Here is a 19881-nt window from a genome sequence, read left to right on the forward strand (position 1 = left end):
CAGAGTCTCTAGAGCTATTTTCTTAAGCATTGTATTTAATGATTTGCAGTGCTCACGTTATATTTGAAAATCATTCGTTTTTCAGTTGAATATGATTTTTTAAAGTTTGTTGAATGCTTTAATTTTTCATGACGTCTAGAGGATATAATTTTCTGTGATAATATATGAGAGTATCATGTAAGGCACAGAAGAGTTTTGATTTACAAAACTGACTTCCAACTAACTTTTCAGGACTATATATGTTATACTATGTCAGACCTACCTACATAAGGCCTAAATAACAGTGCTAATGATAATAATAAAACCTCATGCTTATATGACAACTAAGGCATTATCTTATTTGAGTTTCATAACAATCTTTTCTTGAGACGGGGTCTCGCTCTGTCACCCAGGCTGGAGTGCAGGGGCGTGATCTCGACTCACTGCAACCTCTACCTCCCAGGCTGAAGCGATCCTCCCACCTCAGTCTCCCAAGTAGCTGGGACTACAGGAATATGCCACTGTGCTCAGCTTATTATTATTATTATTATCATTATTTTGATAGAGATGGTGTTTCGCCATATTGCCCAGGCTGTTCTCGAACTTCTGAGCTCAAGCAATCCACCTACCTCAGCCTCAGAAAATGCTGGGATTAAACTTAAAGTATAATAATAATAATAATAATAATAATAAAGTGAAAAAAAAAAGAAAGAAAATGCTGGGATTACAGGAGTGAGCCACCTTGCCCGGCCTGAGTCTCATAACAATTTGAGATTTAGGTAAGATTAGAATTATCCCCATTATATAGATGAAGAAAATGAGGCTCAGACAGGTTAAGTGGTTAGCTCAAGGTCACACACCTTCCACATGACATAAACAGGACAAGAAATCAAAGGTAAAAGTTTTCCACACGTGCCTAAACCCCTAGGATAAAACATATCACAGCTCTCTCACCTTGACTTAGAAGTGCTAACAACGGCTTGTGAAAAATGAAAAGCCTTGAAGGAAGGCAGAATAAAAATCTGAGAGACAATCACTGATCTTTTATCTTCTAGACTTCAAGCTGAATCAAGTTCTTCAAAGAAAACCCAATAAAGCCCAGACATTTTCATCATAACAAAATAAATAATTCAGTCAGGCTTTAGAGGGCTCCTGCATTTTGATTGGCTATTTGATATATTTGTGACTTAGCCACCACTAAACTGATTAAAGCTAACCTGATTGACGCAGTTATGTTGACAGAGCCTCTGACACTGACAGTTATGAATGGAAAGTGTAAATAACAATAAATAACCTGGAGCTTCCACATTTATTCCTAATGGAGAATTTAGCACTTGCAAAAGTCAAACGCCTGATAGGCTAAAAATTACAGCCTTTGGTCTATCTGGCGCCAAAGAAACTGTTTAAATTCATCACCCCTCCTCTCCTTAGGAAGATATCCACAGAGCCTCGGGTTCTTCCAGGCAGACAGACAGACAGACAGGTTTGATTTTTTTTTTTTAACACTCAGACTCTTTGAGCTGCAAGGGGCAGTAGAAATTATCTGGTCTAACCCTACATCTTATATATGGGAAAACTAAAGCTCAGAGAAATGAAATTGATTGCCCAAGGTCATCCAGTGAGTCATGATGGCATCGGGGCCACAATCCATGTCCTGTTACTCCTAGTCTAATGTTCTTGTCACCAGACTCCACAACAGGGAAAAGTCTCCACCTGACACACGCAGCACATGTGCACACACAAAGACACACACATACGCATCCATTCTTAATTATAATAAACCTACAAAGATAATTGAAGCTATATTCTCTGGGCTAAATTTCTATTGGTGTCAATAGAAATAGATTTGAGGCAGACTCTGAGATATAAAATTGTATGCAGCTTTTCAACTTCAAGTCCATCTTGTGATTACAAATTAATACCCCTATTTTAAACCACATCTGAACATAACTGTAGAGAGCATGCACACTCTTTGGTTTATCACCAGCATTGCTTTGAATGTGTACAGTACAATTTTATTTTTGTAAAAAAAAAAACCTACACGTGTGAAATATGCAGGAAAAAAATGAGAAAGCCTATGCTCACCACAGTGATCTCTGGATGTTAGGATTCTGGGTGATTTTTATGTTCTATTTTATATTTATCAGAACTTAGTAACTTCTCTTCTAAAACGAACACCTATTATTTATGTAGTAAAGTGTCCTTATCAGCAGGACAGCAGAAGAGGAACAATATTAGAAATGTTGTAATAAAATATTCAGACATATAAACTCTTGATATTTTTCAGGCTCCATAATAACTTCACAATATCAACTCATGGTCAACTAAGCTTATAACATAAAACATGTTCAATTCGAATTTCCCTCCTGGGAAACTGAAAAGACTTATAGATCCAATGATCATCTCTTTCCATGTGCATATTTGGCCCATAGAACAGGTAGGCCATTTTATGAAGTTACTGTCCCCAGATGGCTGCTCATTCAAATTCAGGAACAACTAGCTCAACAAATAGGATGTTTTCCTGGATCTTCACTAAGCCAAATTGATGAAGGGGAAGGATGGTGAAGTGTGATTTATAACTACTTTCCAAAATTAACAAACACAAGCTAACATTCATTGAGCACTCACTATATACTAGGCACCACCCTAAATTAAGTTTTATATGCATCATATCATTTATTCCTCACAAAAACCATGTAAGGTTAGGTCCTATTATTGTTTTAGAGATGAAGAAATTGGGAGTTAGAGAGGTTTGGTAGACTCCCCCAGGTAACAAGATTCAAACCCAAGTCAATTTATTCCAGAATCCGTTCTCTTAAACACTACACTGCCTTTTATTATTTTTCCATACCTAGAGTAACTTAAACTCACTGCTAATAAAGTGTTTCCAAGTAGAGGTTCTATCAGGTTTGCTTTAATAGGCAAAGCTCATTGTAATTAGCAGCCTCAATTAATGGGCTTGCTCAAGTCCTTCAAGCAAGTTAAACATGACTTCCTGCAATCTTATATACACTATTAATTTGTTAGCAGATTCTTTCTTCATAAATGGGATGAAAGTAAACTTCAGCCCAAGTCAAACTATCACAATATTCAAATTAACAGAGCCCAAGTTAATGAGAGTTCACTCTAGATCATTAATTTTTACAAAATATTTACCTTCTGCCTTGAGTTCACTTCTGCCATTTCAGCATTTATTGCCTGTATAGTTAATGTACAAACATATGTTTGCACTGTTACAGTTTTCACATAAAAGACTTCTGACCGCCTTCAAAATAAGAAGAAAAAGTCCAACTATGGTCCTGCTTAATTGTGAGACATTTCTAACATAGTCTCTAAAGATCTGGGCTTTCACAATTTGTTGAAAACCTCATCTGGCACCAAGTAAATGTACAATAGAAGAAAATACTCAAGTTGGCACATGTAGCAAAAACTTCCATTCAATTTTCTTAAATAATTCTCCTTCTTTCTTAAGCAAAGTTTAATGTTACAGGATTTGGGTGCCTGAATTAGTAGCTACCCCACCTCACTCCCCAAAACAAATAAGCATAATTACATTGCTTTCTACTAGATTGCCTCTCTCATGTACATCCTACTAGCTCAAGTTCCAGACCAGCTACTGGCTCCTTATGTTGATGAAGTCAAGACACTGTCTAAATTCTTCCATGTCTACATTCAGACAGTAGAGAAAATAACAATCGTGCCACCAACTTTCAACTGGAGATGATTGAAAATACAATTACTGCATGCAAGTCACATTGAAATCCTTTAAGGAAAACTGCAGTGTATATAAATCATAGTTGATTATACCTTGAAAATATTTCTATTACTGTCTTCTTTACATGTCTAGTATAGTGTATATAAGCAAAAATTAGAGCTTCAGGAGTCTAGTTCAGTGTTTACTCTAAGAAGACTTCATGAGCAAGGAAATGACAGACCCACATGTTCCTCTAACACTACAGTGGCTACATTTTAACTAGGCCAAGAAAGAGAGGCCCTGTGTGGTATGGCTAACTACTTATGGGAGTAATTTCACCATACAACTATAGCAAATTTATTTCAGTTCCAGATATCACTTTCCCCATTAACTCAGGAGACCAAAGGAGCTTAACTGCTTTCCTTTCATCCCTGTCGAATGCAGCAAGTTTCTCAGGAAGCAAATACTATTTAAATCATTTTCATAATTCTAAAATGCCTGTAAGACAAGTCCAGGGTCTAATTATACCACTTAAATTTGTTGAAGATGTTTGGGTTTTTCTTTTTTTAATTTCAATAATGAAAGAGCCCAAGGGTTTAAAGCCCTAATAATCTAATAAACTTTGCTAAGTGAACATTGTAACAGATATGCCTGGATGGGATTTTGTAAATACCAGACAATTTCCCCTGATCTTTATCAGGGAAAAGAAGCCTAAATCTTTGGCAGGAAGAAATTAAATGTAGTGCAAAATAATAACATCTGGCCAGATTGTGTTTGTCAGGGTAGCAGCCCCTTTAGATGTCAGGCTGAAAAGTACTAAAATGAACTCTGAAGAGTGTGTGTGCGATTCTTTATGAGGCAATAGGAAAGGCTGCCACCCTGCCATAGAATACTCAGGGTACAATTAACTCACCCTAGTATGTCCCTACAGAGAATTGTTTCATATCAATGGAATTTGAAGCCTTCTGCCAAATAAAAGTTTGGGGTCATTCTTGGGGTGTTTTGTTTATTTCTCCATTACTGTACAGATTCCTAACAGCACTTTCTATTTTTCAAAACCATCTATGATCATTTCAATAAGTTTTAAAGCTTATTTTTATCTTCTAGCTCCAAGGGAGACCGTGTGGCTCAATGAAAAGGGCAATGACTTTGAAGTTAGCAACTTAATGCTGCCACTTGCTGGTTACATGGCCTTGGACAAATTGGTTAATAGCTCTTAATCCCAGTTTCCACATCTGTAAAATGGGGATAATAATACCTAATGGTGTTATTACCATTATGAAGATTACTCAAGTCTAGCACATAGTACACTTTTAGTAAGATTAGTTAACTTTATTTCTCCTTCACTTAAGTAATCCCGGTAAGTTCAAATGTCTAACCTCACCAACCTTCCAGAGGTCTCTGACCTTCAAGAAGGCTTAATTTTTTGCAAGTTTACACTATCTTCCCCTCCCATCAAAACAAAAACAAAAAACCTCAAGGTTATATTTGAAATAATATGTGCATCATTTAAGCCTCTTCTTCCACTGTAAGCCATCTCAACCATCTGGCAGAGATTGCCAGAAAGAACATACTTTGTTTTCCACTAATGATTACTTTGATGCATGAGATACTTTGTTTTTCCTGTCTCTCTGTTTTTTCTTTTTTAATCTGGCATTTAGAGAGGGAGAACTATGGTCATCTCACAATTTTTTAAGAAGGTTTTCCTAATAAACAACTCTTTCCAGAATTTGTACCACAAAACAATGCTAAGCCACTGATTTATCTGACAGGCCAGTATATCTGTTTCAAATGTTAATTGCTAGAAAGAGTACTGTTTTTCCAGGCACCAAAGAAGAGGAGTGTGGATAGCAATCTTTGGGGTTTTCCCCCACCTACTACTCTGTTGGTAGAACAAGCACTTTGGCCTCACTGGCTGGGTTTCTTAAGCTACCCTTCAAGGACTGGGGCATGTAGGAGTAAACACACATACTACATCAAAGAATAGTTCCAGGGCCCATTTCCCCAACTGGGAAGGATGTCCAGAATCCACACTCCAGGCAGAGCCTGGTGGCAGGCTACATTTCACCACTCTCTAGAGCACCTTTCCAGCTACCAGGGCACAGGCTCCAGTGCATTTCTAGACCAAAATTACTTCCTATTAAAAGGCCAGAAAGGTTTCAGATCCAGAGGAAGAAAGGCAATTCTGATATAGTACAGACTGATAAGTGCCAAGGGACAAGTGAATAACAACTACACTAGTCACTTAAACTTTCAAAACATTTTCATATATATTACCTCTTTTGATCCTCAAGAGCTCCAGCAGGTTGGCAGGTCAGGTGTTACCATCTTGCATATAAGAAAACAAACTTAGAGACTTTGAATTACCTACCTATTTCCACACAGCTGGTGTCAGAACAGGAAATAGAACACATCTTTGATTCATGCTAAGGCCAATATCAATTAGTAAAGAATCAAAGAATATATTGGAAACCAAATTAAGATATTGACACATTTGACTGAAAGTATGTTTAAACCCCCACAAAAAAAGAAAACTTGAATTAACAAATCAGTTAAAGCAACTTATACAAAATGGGCTAGCATTCTGAATATACAAAGAGCTGCTTGTTACAAATCAATAAGAAAAGGACAACTAGTAAGGGACAAGTTATACTTAAATTTTTCCAAATGATGAAAGAATATTAGTGAGAAAAATCACAAAATAAAAGGTACAAATGATCAACAAATCTCACTGGCAACCAAAGAGTACTATTTTTTTCACCCACGCTGGGATTATGATAAAATGGCAAGGGGCAGACAGGAAAATGGACATTCTTACATTGCTAATCTCCATGGTGTGCTTATTTCACATTGTATGCCTGTATCAAAACATCTAATATACCCCATAAATATATACACCTACTATGTACCCACAAAAATTAAAAGTTAAAGTATTTAAAAAGAAGTAAAGTGAAAGCACATACAAACTTTATGGAAATCAAATAGGCAATAAATGTGAGAAATCTTAAAAACTGCATAGTCTCTGACCCAGCAATTCCACTTCCAGGAATTTATCCTGAGGAAATCATTAAGGATGTGCATAAATATTTAATTACACGGACATTATTTAGTTCACTGTGGCTTACTGAAAGCAACCTTCATTTCCAACAATAGAGAGGGTTGGATTAATAACATGTGAAATATCCACAGTAGTAAGTAAAGGGTAGCCCCTAGATACTATATTTATATTGTGTTACAGAAGTACATTATTGACATGGAAAGATGGCTATATGAAAAAGCAGTATAGTCAATTTTTGAAAAACTATACATACACCTATGTATGAATAAAAAGTATGCAAGACGATATGTCAAAATGTTAACAGTAGCTATCCTCTAGTGGGTAGAATCAGGGTCGTTTTATTTTCCACTTTTTTATTTCTTTGTGGTTTTTTCATTTTCTCTAATTAAAAAAGAAATACTTATTTGTGTAGCAAAAACTTGTTTTAAAAAAAGATTATCCTGAAATAAATACTGCTGTATTACTTTCAAGGTCTCACATAATCAGGAATAAATAAATAATCCATTGGTCTCTAGAAACCTGCCTTAACAAATAGATAACAATTCTTTCTAATGAACCTATGATTATTGATTTTTTAATGCACACTAAAATTTTTATTTTAAAAATTATTCTTTTAAATCAGTTAATGATTCCTCTCTACAATTCGTTTAAACTATTCATTTATTTGACAAGTCCTTTTTTAAACTTGAGTCAACCTTAGTCCCACCTGTGTCTGATCAAATTCCTACACCCACGTCAAATCCCAATTTATTAGAGTTGATAAAGGAAGAACAACTATAAACAGATATAAGAAAGAATGAGAACCTTAATCTTTAACTTTGAAGAGTATCAATAGTTGCCATTTATTAAGCACCTATTCTATACCAAGCAATATGGTATACATGTTTTACATAATTTATGGCTCACTTTCACAGCAGTGCTGTAAGGTTGTAATTATTACCCTCATTTTGTAAAAGGGGGTTACGTAACTAGTGAGTAACAAGAGTATTTGAATACAGGACTATTTGACTTAAAAGACTATCTATTCTGACATTGTGCCTTCCACTAAAATATCAAATATAAAACTCTAAGGAAAGGTAAGGTTATGTGAATAGTCTCCAAATTTGATGCACTAGCAACAATATTGAGAGAGAACACATAGCATTATAAGAGAATAGCACAATTTAAATTCAGCAGTCTTGGGTCTAGCAACTCAATTATTTAGCATTGGGTTAACTTGCCTACATTACCAAACTCTCCTAGTTTTAGTCTCCTTATGGGATTAATACCACCTTTTTGAAGGGAAGCTGGCAAGGTCCAAATAAATACAAGTATGTCTGCCTGCTACAAGGCTTTCAAGAAAAGGGAGCTTCTCTTCCCTTCAGGTCCTTGTGAAAGGGTGGTAGGACACACAAGAATGTATTTGGACAAGCTGACAGGTGTCACCATTCTCATGGTTCTTGTTCACAAGGTGCAAATCTGTGGCACTGAATCTTGTTCACAGTGTTCTGGGAAGAGCCTAGGTCATGCTGGAAGAAAAGACAACCAGCCAGCCTCAGAGTTATGGGGCCAGAAGCTGAGGCAGAGGCTTAGAGAAACAGATGTTCCATCTCAATGGGCGAGCAAAACCCCATTATCCAGACTTTTAAGATCTTATATCTAAGCAGCTTTTAAAACCTAGAAGTAAATGCTGCAGGCAACAGGATCTATCTTTTCTTTTCTGTTTGGTCATACTGTTGCAGGGGAAGGGGAACAGTTAGAAATCTATTTCTATCAATACTACTTATTCTAATTTTGTGTGAGAGTGTATGTATATATATATATATGTGTGTGTGTTCATTCAAACATTTACTGAAAGTTTACTGTCTCACCTGGGGACAGAGGGATATGGTAGAATAGACACAAGCCCTATCCACAGAAAGCTCATTCTTTAGTAAAGGATACCCATGTTAATCAAATAACCATACATACTCCTGTAACCACTGCAACCTGATGAGTGCTAGAAAGGAAAAGCACAGGTTCCCAGGAGAGGGAAGAAATGCAATCCAATAATGACATTTCAGTTAATTGGGTTCAGAACTATATGCTAAAGAACTCTGACCAAAGGAGAGGAGTGTCATAAGCATTCCAATTTCCTTTCAACATTTTTGTTCTCCTTCTTTTCTTAATGTAATCCAGTGGAATCAGTCTCCCTTTGCTGAGTAGATCTAGAGGCTACTTTAACTCATTCAGACCACTACGGGACCATTTAGAAACTGTATATTGTACGGTTTTAAATATACACATACACACAGAAAGGGAAAGGAAGAAAACACACAAAAATGTTACAAGTGGTTATCTCTGAATGAGAGGATTATGAGTGGGTATTTAGTGCATTTTGACATTAATTATATTAAAACATAAAAAATTATTTAAAAATGTATATGTGCCAGATATGTGACATTCATTACTGCAAAGCAAAGATATTATATTTCATACATATATATGCTTATAAATGCACAAGAGGGAATAATAAAAACAATGGCTACCATGCATTTTATTCCTATGGGCCAGCATAGAGCTGAGTTCTTCACAGCACTCATCTGATTTAATTTTGTTTAATGAATGGCTCAGAGAGAAGTGGCCTGCCCTTGGTCACAAAGAGAGGAAAGGGCAAAATTGGGACTTAGACACCAGTCTGCCTGAAGCCAGACCACATAGCCATCACACTATGCCCTTTGCTGCCTCCTAGGTGTTTGCCCCTTCCAAGAGGGAAGTCTAAGTGAGAGACTACAGGTATAGACAAGGAGTCCAGAAAGGCTAGTATCTAATAGGCAATTAATAATTTGAATTTGGCCAGGCATGGTGGCTCACACCTGTAATTTTAACACTTTGGGAGGCCGAGGCGGGCAGATAGCTTGAGCCCAGGAGTTTGAGACCAGCCAGGGCAACATGGCGAAACTCCATCTCTACAAAAAATGCAAAAATTAGCCCTGTGTGGTGGCACATTCCTGTAGTCCCAGCTATTCAGGAGGCTGAGGTGGGAGGATCCCTTGAGCCCGGGAGGCGGAGGTTGCAGCGAGCTGAGATAGTGCCACTGCACTCCAGCCTGGGCAACAGAGCGAGAATCTGTCTCAAATAATAATAATAATAATTTGAGTTTGAGTTTAATTGAGAAAAAGATGTGCACTGATTTACCCAACTCCCTCATGTGTTCTTCTCTTTGATCAACAGCATGTCTATCTGGAGATTTCATACAGCCAGTCTCCTCCAGGAACCTCTACCCTCTGGTTGGAGTTAATCTCTTCCAACCCCACACTACCATAAAGAAGTGAATTTTAATACAAAAATTAGCCAGGCATGATGGCAGGCGCCTGTAATCCAAGCTACTCAGGAGTCTGAAGCAGGAGAATCGCTTGAACCCAGGAGGCGGATGTTGCAGTGAGCCAAGATCAGGCCATTGTACTCCAGCCTGGGTGACAGAGAGAGACTCCGTCTCAAAAAAAAAAAAAGAAAAGAAAAGAAAAGAAAAGTTATTTTTCTGTTAAACAATGAAACTTAAGCTACAGGGACCCTGCACTTGCACACCCTCTCACAGAAGAGCCATAGGCATTTTGTATTTTTTATTTTGTCTTCTTTTTCTTAAAGAAGGTCCCCCAATTATATAAGTTTTGAGCACTACAAAACCTGGATCCACCTCTACTCCCCTTGGAAAACTGCAAAGGTTTTTTCTTACATTTTTCTTAGGATGCCTTGCACCCAAGTTATTTGTATACAAATGTCCTGGTTTCTGAATTTTGATCTACTTGAAGGTAGCCATGAGGTAGTTTTTCTCTTTGAATCCCCCACAGTACCTGCCTTTAGACATGCTATCCAGTTGCTCAGCCAATGCTTTTTTAATTAAATACAATAGAGTTCCCTTGCAAGGAGGAAAGTTAGAATTGAGGAGACTGCTTATGACCATGAGATGAAATACACAGAGGCTGTATCACACATATAGCACTGTTTTAAGGGCACAGGCTATGGAGCTGTACTTCCTGCGTTCAATTCTTGTCTCTGCCATCTATTGGGTGCTACTTTAAACAAGTCACCTAATCTCTTTAAGCCTCCATTTTGTCAGTGATAAAATGAGGCTAATGAAAGTACCCACCTCCTAGGGTTGTTATGAGGTTTAAATGAGATAAGTAAAACACTTGAGAAGAGGAAATTTTTTATTCATCTCTCTCCAATACAGTACACTTTCAGAAAGGAGGTCTCTAATCCTCACCCAAGCCCTCAACTTTCTTCTCTCCATACCAGCCTGCCTACCCCACCCAGACTCATTCACACCCTGTCAGAATGCCCCCTAGAGCCTGCACTCTTAATCATTACACTCCATTGCTGAACTGGGAAGCAAGGGAGGCTAAAGGCATGAAACCCAGGGGTGCATTTGCTGGTAGTCTAGATGTTAGCTGATGGAGCCTGGAACTGAAATCAGAGAGGAACTAAAATCAAAAGCCATCTGCATATGATAAATGAGACAACTGAGACCGATGGGGTCTCAGTTGGAATGTAGGAAAATGATGTGAAGAAGGATGCAGGAAGAAATGAGACCTGGTGACTGAAAAGTGCAATGAAGGAAAAGGAGCAATACAGGTGCCTCAGTCCCTGGAAGTATCTCACAGTCAATAGAAGGGAAGGGGCTTTTAATTTCTATGTTACCATTTCCAGCTTAGAGGGAAATTGTTTCTACCTCCACTCTACTGACAAGAGAATTCAAATCTCTCAAACATATGCTTCATTACTCCAATATCAGGTACTGCAACTCAGTGAGACAGAAAGAAGAGGAGGAACATATGTTTTCAGAAAGTAAACAAATTCCAGTTTGGGGGCTGGTGGGGAGGTGGAGAGTAAGCACTCTAGGCAAAAGTGGTGTTTTTCCTGGAAGCTTCTAGAGGGCAGGGACAATGTCCTTTAATGTGCTTTGTTGAGCCCACTAGTGAGAAAGGTGGGCAGTGATGATGACAGCAAGAGGAGGTGAGTTCAGAGCCCTGTTAAATCAAGGGCATGAGTTCAGGACCTTGTTCAATCAAGGGCGATGGCCTGGGGTAAAAGAGTTCATCTGCATAATCTCCTCACCTCATGGTTGGCCCCAGAATGGTCTCTGGCTGCATATTGAGTCGTTTTTCTAAGCTCTTTTCATTAAACAGTTTTCAGCCTAATGACTGACTTCTAAATCAATAAAGGGCCCAGGAAAGGTTTATAACTCCCCCAGCCTCTGGCTCTACTAAAGCCACAGAATTTTGAGACCCGATTGAATCCAAAAGTTTTACTTTAAAACTGAAATGGCTTTAAACACTCAGTTTCCAGTTGGTTTTCCAATTGCCCTAATAATTAAAGAATTGCATTTTTAAAAACTTTGTAACCAAAATATGCCTTTGAGTTGGTGCCATGAAAGTCCACTAATTAATGCCAGCATCTTCTGGGCTCTAATGAGAAATTCACCCTTTTATAATGGGATTACTAGAGCTTTGCTGTACAGATGAGCGGTTTGATTAATAATTTACATTTTTGAGGATATATAACTTCACTCATGGCCATGGTTTGAGTTCCTAAAATTATCCTATTCAGTTTAATGCTATTGTATTTAGCCTCGGCAAATGAATTAAGTTTTGATTAGACATCAGTGTAATTATTCTCTCCCATACATTATTTTTAACCAAGAAAGGGGTTGTGACAGACTGGCGGACAGTTAGAGTTGGGGATGCAATGGGGCTCAGCCTGCACAGAGCTGGAGTGCGGGCAGAACTGTCAGGCTAGTCAGGGGGAAAGAATTGTGAAATGGAGAAAAATGGCTCAGTACTCACTTAAAACCCCCACTACATAATAAAAACTAAATTAGCAAATGATTGAATCTCAAAAACATGTTTATCAACATTCAAGCAATTATTGAGTCACATATTAACTGTGAAGGAAAAAAGCTTTGCTTGAATAATGTCCCTAAACAGTTATTTCAAGCAGAAATGACTGGAGAAATTGCTGTGAGCTGACAGAAAAGGGTATTCTAACCAAGGTCAATTTTATTTAGGGGGAGTGGGAGAGACAGGAATCTGACAGAAGAGAGTCTAAAAACTGCCAAGAGCTGATGAAAACAGAAAATAAGGGAGAGAAACAACAGAAGAAGCACAGAAACGCTGCCCTCCCCCCCATTCAGAGATGTCTTTTTCATCTCCACAGAAAGCAGGTAGAAGAAAGCAAGCTTGCCAATACTGAGTGAGGATCAACTGAAGATCTCTAGACTTATACCAACCTTTTTCTCCTCTCTGCCATAATAGTGTGGACCAAAAAATGCAATTAAAATATGGCCTGAACCGACAAACCTCTCCTGATCTAGCTGCTTATTCATATATGAAATACACCAGATACTAGCCAGAAGAGAAGCTTCAGGAAGCTGAAAAAAGGATTGCTCCTGGCAGTATTGACACTTCAAACAGTACAGCCTCACATCCAAGAGTGCATAAAATAAACCCCTTTCCCAAAGAGTCTTTTGCCTAAGTACTCTTTTGTCTGTACACTGGAGCTGTTTGCATATATATCATCAATAAGTGGCAAAAGTTGTTGAAATACATCATGAACTCCAGCCTTGTCGAGGTTAATGTCTGTAATGATAATGCATCATTTATTTGGCACCACCTGGGGTAAAGTGGTCCACATAAATGAGCTGTCTAGATAATGCATGCATATGGTGTTTTACAGTTTTCAAGATACTTTCACATTCATTATTTCTACTTTACAAAAGTAAGCAGGACTGCAATTTTTATGCCCATTTTGCAGATAAGAAAACTGAGGCTACTGGAGTCTAAATAACTGCCCCAAAATATAAAGCTCATAAATGCAGATCTAGAATTTGAACTTGGATTTTCTGACTCCAAGTCCAGTGTTTCTTTCGCTGATCTTAAGCACTGAGGAAATTCATTTTAGCCATTTAAAATGGAAATATTAAGAAAAGGACAGTGAATGTAAGTTGGACTTTCCTTATTTACTTGTAACCACATTGTGAACATCACTTGGACCTAACGTAATACAGGAGCCACTGTGGCCTGTAGGAGTATAGTCCTCTATTAAATGTCCCCAAGTGCCACATTTAGTGAGTTCTTGGATCCCCCCCTAGAAAGCCAGAAAATCAAGTGTGCCAAGACTACGCATAAACATGGAACAGTAGTAGGCTCTAAGCAAGGACTCAAAAACCTTTCAGATGAGATGATTTCCTGCTCGACCACTATTTTTCCTTTCTGATGAAGAGAGTTCAAGTTGTGGAATAGGCAACTTCCAGAAAAAACAAGGTATTGCTGCATATAAAAGAGTCTATTATCACTCAAAGTCAGTGGTATCTTGGGGAAATCTAGAATTATCCAACATCTAGAAAAGACCTGGATGTACCCCAAATATTTCTTGATAGTACAAGGCTGAAAATCATAATAAAATTCTACAAAGAAAATAGAACTCAAGGTTTAAAGGTATAGAGGTGGTAGTGAGATGACGAAAAATTCAGAATTCTATTCCATTTTTCTTCACAAGAACCACAAATCCAACTTCTCAATTTTGTTTTACCTCAAGGACATTAAGAACAAGGAAAGCCATGTCACGTGATGGCTCAGAAGAAGCTGTGGCATCAATGAGTTTCCTCATCTGTAAAATGGAGATAATTACAGTACAGACCTCATAGGGCTGTTGGGAAAATTAAATGAGATAATTATGTAAAAGTCAGCATCATATAGTAGGCACTTAATAAATCTTCACTATTGTTATCATCATAACTATTATAAGGTAGGGGAGAAGAAAAAGAAAAAGAGAAAGGAAAGTCTACTTTTAGTGGAGTTTTTCAGAAAGAATTAATTAAGCAGAAACAAAAAGCAATTGTGCTGCCCCATTTTACTAAGCACATCTAAGTAAATTAAATTTAGGAAACGAGGCAATGCAAAGACTGAGAATAAAGAACAACTTTTTTAAATGCTTCAATCATTATCAAAACAACATTAGCAATAGAGCACTCCAACCACTGTAGCAAAGGGCCCCAGGCTCATTTATGAGGGCAAAGGCTTCCTGCAAATGAAGACATAAAATCCAAATCGAGGCAGTAAGGATTGCTCGTGGAACTGTGCACATATTTGCAGAAAGCACTCACTGCTTAAATACCCCCAATGTGGACTAGTGAAGGAATACCAAAGAGATTGTGGATCTAGGCCAAGATCAAGATGAGCTTTCTTCAACTTCATGTGATGGAGAAAATAGCTAGCAAAAGCCGTCACATCAAATTTCACATGAGTGAAGTACTGGGATGGTTTTCTCACTAATTTGGTCTACCAGAATATTGGGGAGGGGATGTATTTTAGGGGAAAAACAATTGTGTCTCCTAATTTCAATTCAATGGAATAATAAACGGTCATAAGAAAGAAAAAAAGTGGATGCTCTCTTTTTCTTAGCAATTAATAATACATTATCTTGTAGTGGTCCCCAGTTTGAAGTCTTGTCTCTCCAAATGTTTGTTACAAAAGGATTTAGGGGCAATGTCTTCTGAAACATTGTACAAGTGCCTTGAGGTCTGGGATCATGGTTTATTTTTCCTTGTTGGGTTTATTTTTTCTAAAAGTGAGGCAGGAAAAGAATGAGAAGAGGGAGTGAAACAAGATAAAGAATGAGTACCGATGGTGACAAGGTAAAGGGCACTAGCAATAATTAGCTCAGACATAATTTCATTGTCTCCATGTTCCTTTGCTAGGGTTGTCCTTCTGTCTATCCCCACAATTCAAGAAAGTGTGTGTGTGTGTGTGTGTGTGTGTGTGTGTGTGTGTGTGTGTGTGAAGTGAAAGAGAGACAGAGAGAAAGGGAGAGAGAGATACAATTAGTAGATGCTGCCCCCATTTTCTACCCTCTGTTCACATGACTAGTATTCAGCCTCCAAGCTATAGCAGGCTTATCTGGAAGCTAATCCAACCAAAATCTTGTCAGAACTTTTTTTCTCTCCTAGTCTCACATTTTTGCAGATCTAGAAAACACAGTGGGCAAAGTGCAGAACTGGACAGAGGTGTAAATGCTGACGACCCGGGCCCTCAGATACATAGCCATGTCAGCTACTGTAAATGTTAAAATGCCAGTATGATCACTCTACCACTCCCCTCCAACCAGACAAGGATTGTAAGGTAACATCTGTGAGCTTGGATATTCTGGGAATTAAACAAATCACTAATACTCTGTTCTAAAAAGGGACCTTGATGCCCCAAAGAGTAAGATTCAGCTCTCTGCTTCAACCCAATTCTCATGTCACATCATTTCTTCTCACCCCACTTTCATCCAACAGATCAACTCCAAAACCAATCTAAGAAGTTCATGAATGCTACATGTATTTTTAAAATCTGTCTAAATTATTCATTCTATCACCAAATTGTTAGTCTCAACAAACTCTTCACAAGAGTCTGACTGCATAAATAGTTTAACAAATACTTCAAGCTTATATATTATACTTCATATAATCAACCTAATACCCCCTGAGGCTTTGACCCAAGAAACTGTTGTGAATGTAGGCTTTATTAACTAATCTGAACAATTTTCTTAGCTAATTCTAAAGATTTCATTATAATACACAAAATAAGCTATAATCAACACACCTTACAATTCAGAGGTTAATTCTTGTAACAGTGCCATAAATCTCAAGCTTTGCAATGTCAAGCAGTCAGAAGTGTTATTTTTCTATCTGACCTCGATCCTCTCTTGGTGAGGCAAGAAAAAGGTGGCTGATTCCCTCTGCTTGAGGAAGGATAGAAGAAAGACTGATAATTAATTAATTACTAATTAATTGTGAATACCCATAATTAATTTTCCCAGTTACAGGAGGCAGCCTATGGGGATAGTTAAAAGAATAGACTCTAAGAGCCATGCCATCTGGGTTCAAATCCTGCCTTCACCATTTATTTATTAATTTTGTGGCCTTGAGCAAGTTACTTAATCATTCTGTGCCTTAGATTTCCATCGACAAAATAAGGATACTAACATCTACTCATAATTATATTGTGAGGATTAAATGAATTAATACATGTAAACCACTTAAAAGAGCACCTAGCACATGGTGCCATATAAGTGTCTGCTATCATCACCACCACCACCACCTCCATCATCATCATCATCTTCCTAGCTGGGTGTTAGAATTGAAGGAGGTACTCCCCATCCTGCTATGATAGTCCTACTAAGTTAGCAAGGAGAAGTGTCATTTCCTACCCGTTCTGGCAATGCCACAACAGCTTCTCTTGCAATCATTCACAGGCATGGTAAGAAGTGAGAGTCACAAAGAGAGGAGAGGTCACCACTCACACCAATGGGAAAATCCTGGGCCAACAAGCCAGTGTCTGCCTCTTAAATGGAAATGGTCCTAGTGGTCAGAAGGAGTCCACATGTATCCCACAAGCATCTAACTCATTCCTGGAGAAAACTGGGCTCAGTATTTAAGGGAACTTTTTTGTTTTTGAATCAAGCTGAGAGAAAATATTATTTATTCTTTCTGTAGAGATTTATAACCTTTATATACAGGTAAATAGAATGTCCTTGGACAATGATTTTTTGACAATACTCACCTTTCCAAAGATTGAAATGAAGCTTCTCTGAAAATGTGTTTTTTTAAACCAGAATTTCTCACTGGGAGGTTTTTAATAGCAAGCATTAATGCTGGAATGGTAATTTATAAATTATACTTAGTATTTGAAAGCCCAGTGCCCAAATAATGATGCCACTAAGCAGCACATCTAAAATAATCCCCAGAACTCACCTTGGAAAACCGCAGCATTCTGAATAATTAAGAACTTGAGCTCCATACTTGCAGACTGAAGCAGCTGTTCCATGTTCAATCGTGCTGTTAGTTGGTATTTTTCTTCCATCTTTCTTGAGCAGCATGTTGGGCCCTTAGGGAGACATACTTGCAAATCTGATCCTGAAACAAACAAGGTTTTCATGTTTCAGTAAGCAGGATCTCTCTCTCACACACCCACACCCACACCACCCCCACCCCCTACACACACACTCACACATGGCAAACAGGGCAAACAATGCATTTCTTTTGAGATACAGTAAAATTTTGATTATTCAAAATTACGTTTCATCTTAACTAATCCCTGCTTTCTCCCAATTGTCCTTATGGCTGACTCTTTTTGAATAACCATCAGAATTAATTGCCTAGGTTTGACTCATAAATTCTGCATAAACTAATTTATAGCACCAAAAACACATCACTGAACACCGATATTTAGTTTGTCTTTTAAAAGATCAATCTTCACTCCTATAATTTATTTTTCCTGATTATAATGTATGAATGAGAAGACAACCAAGAAACAATTTTCAAAATTCCAGTTATGATTTCCAAATGAAATGTATGTCTGGCCAACCCAATACTGCTTTTCAGGATAAATGATCAAAACATCAATATCATATCAAAGCTGTGTTGTTGTTTTAACTAAAGGTCTGAAGCAAGATACAAGTCATTCAACAAATATTTATTAGGTGCCTACTATATGCCAAGCACTGTGGTTGTAACAGTATACAAAGCAAAGTCCCCGCCCTCATGGAGCTTACATTCTGGGAGATAACAAACAAACAAAAATATAAACATAATGTCAAAAGGTGATAAATACTATAGAGAAAGTAAAACAAAGTAAGGAAAGGAAAACAAACTGTGGTATATCTATAAAATGGAATTCTATTTAGCCATAAAAAGGAATGAACCATTAATGCATACTACTGGAGGGACAAAACTCAAAAACATTATGCTATGTGAAAGAAGCCAGATCAAAAAGAAGCACATACTCTATGGTTCCGTTTATACAAAAGTCTAAAAAACAGAAACTAATCTAGAGTGACAGAAAGCAGTTCAGTCGTTGTTAAGGGAGATGGTGGGCAGGAGGGGTAGGAGGAAGGGTTTATAAAGAGTAGTGGAGAAACTCTGGGGAGTGATGGATATGTTCATTATTTTTATTGTGGTAATGGTTTCACGGGTGTATATGCATGTCAAAATTATCAACTTGCACCCTTAAAATATGTAGTTTATTATATATCAATTATGCCTCAATAAAGGTGTCAATTGTTTTATTTATTTATTTTTATTTTTTATTTTTCTTGAGACGGAGTCTCACTCTCATTGCCCAGGCTGGAGTGCAGTGGCGCGATCTCAGCTCACTGCAACCTCCACCTCCTGGGTTCAAGCGATTCTCCCAGCTTGTTTTTAATTTTTAAAAAGTAAAGTAAGGGAGATACAGAATGTGATGATTGTGGAGACTATTCTGTTTTGCATATGGTAGTCAGAGAAGGCATCTTCCATAAGGTAACGTTTGAGGAGAGATGAGGAAGGTGAGTGTGAATCTGATGATTTTATATCCTCCACCAATACTAACAAATATTAGGGCTCAGTGAATATTAAGACCAATCTCCTTCCTCTCTTCAACTTCTGTCTTACTCAAACTTTCTCTTTTTTTTTTTTTTTTTTTTTTTTTTGAGATGGAGTTTCGCTCTTGTCGCCCAGGCTGGAGTGCAGTGGTGCTATCTCTGCTCACAGCAACCTCCACCTCCCGGGTTCAAGGGATTCTCCTGCCTCAGCCTCCCAAGTAGCTGGGATTACAGGCATCTGCCACCACGCCTGGCTAATTTTTTGTATTGTTAGTAGAGATGGGGTTTCGCCATGTTGGGCAGGCTGGTCTCGAACTCCTGCCCTCAGGTGATCCATCCACCTCGGCCTCCCAAAGTGCTGGGATTACAGGCATGAGCCACTGCCAGACTCTTTCTCCAATTAGCATTTGTTGATCTCCTTCTGTGGTGGCTGTGAATATGGGCATCTCAGATCTTCTACTGTGGGGAATGTAATTGACTAATGGTCCCAGCTGCTGCCCTTTGAATTCACCACCACATTGTTCCTAAGCCACATTCCCTGGGGGCTGCTCCCAGCCAATGACTGAGCATGGCAAAGATACTAAGTCCTGTAACCCAGGACTTTGCTCACAGGGGACTTTGGCTTGAGGACTCCCCATTGACCTTGCCAAACTTTCTTAAAACGGCACTGCAGTCTAAGATTCCTCCTACTCAACCTTCCTTCCTTTCCTCTCTCTTCCACAAGGGTCAGACCTGCACCATGGTCTGATGGCTTTTCCGGCCTCCTTCAGCTCCCTCCTCATTTTCCTTC

General features: G+C 38.1%; 1 protein-coding gene across 5 annotated transcripts in view; it reads right to left on the reverse strand.

Moving 5' to 3' along the window:
• Positions 1 to 19881, reverse strand: part of GPC3 (glypican 3) — a 449850-nt gene that overhangs the window by 399821 nt on the left and 30148 nt on the right. For 3 of the 5 annotated variants that reach the window (NM_004484.4, NM_001164617.2, XM_017029413.3), the window contains exon 2: positions 17485 to 17646. The exons of 1 other annotated variant lie outside the window; for it this stretch is intronic. In NM_004484.4, the coding sequence (NP_004475.1) occupies positions 17485 to 17646 (162 nt within the window). The remainder of the gene's footprint in view (positions 1 to 17484; positions 17647 to 19881) is intronic. One more of the 5 variants, NM_001164618.2, reaches the window with a different exon arrangement.

Source organism: Homo sapiens, chromosome X (genome assembly GCF_000001405.40).
Source record: "Homo sapiens chromosome X, GRCh38.p14 Primary Assembly".
Taxonomy (NCBI): domain Eukaryota; kingdom Metazoa; phylum Chordata; class Mammalia; order Primates; family Hominidae; genus Homo; species Homo sapiens.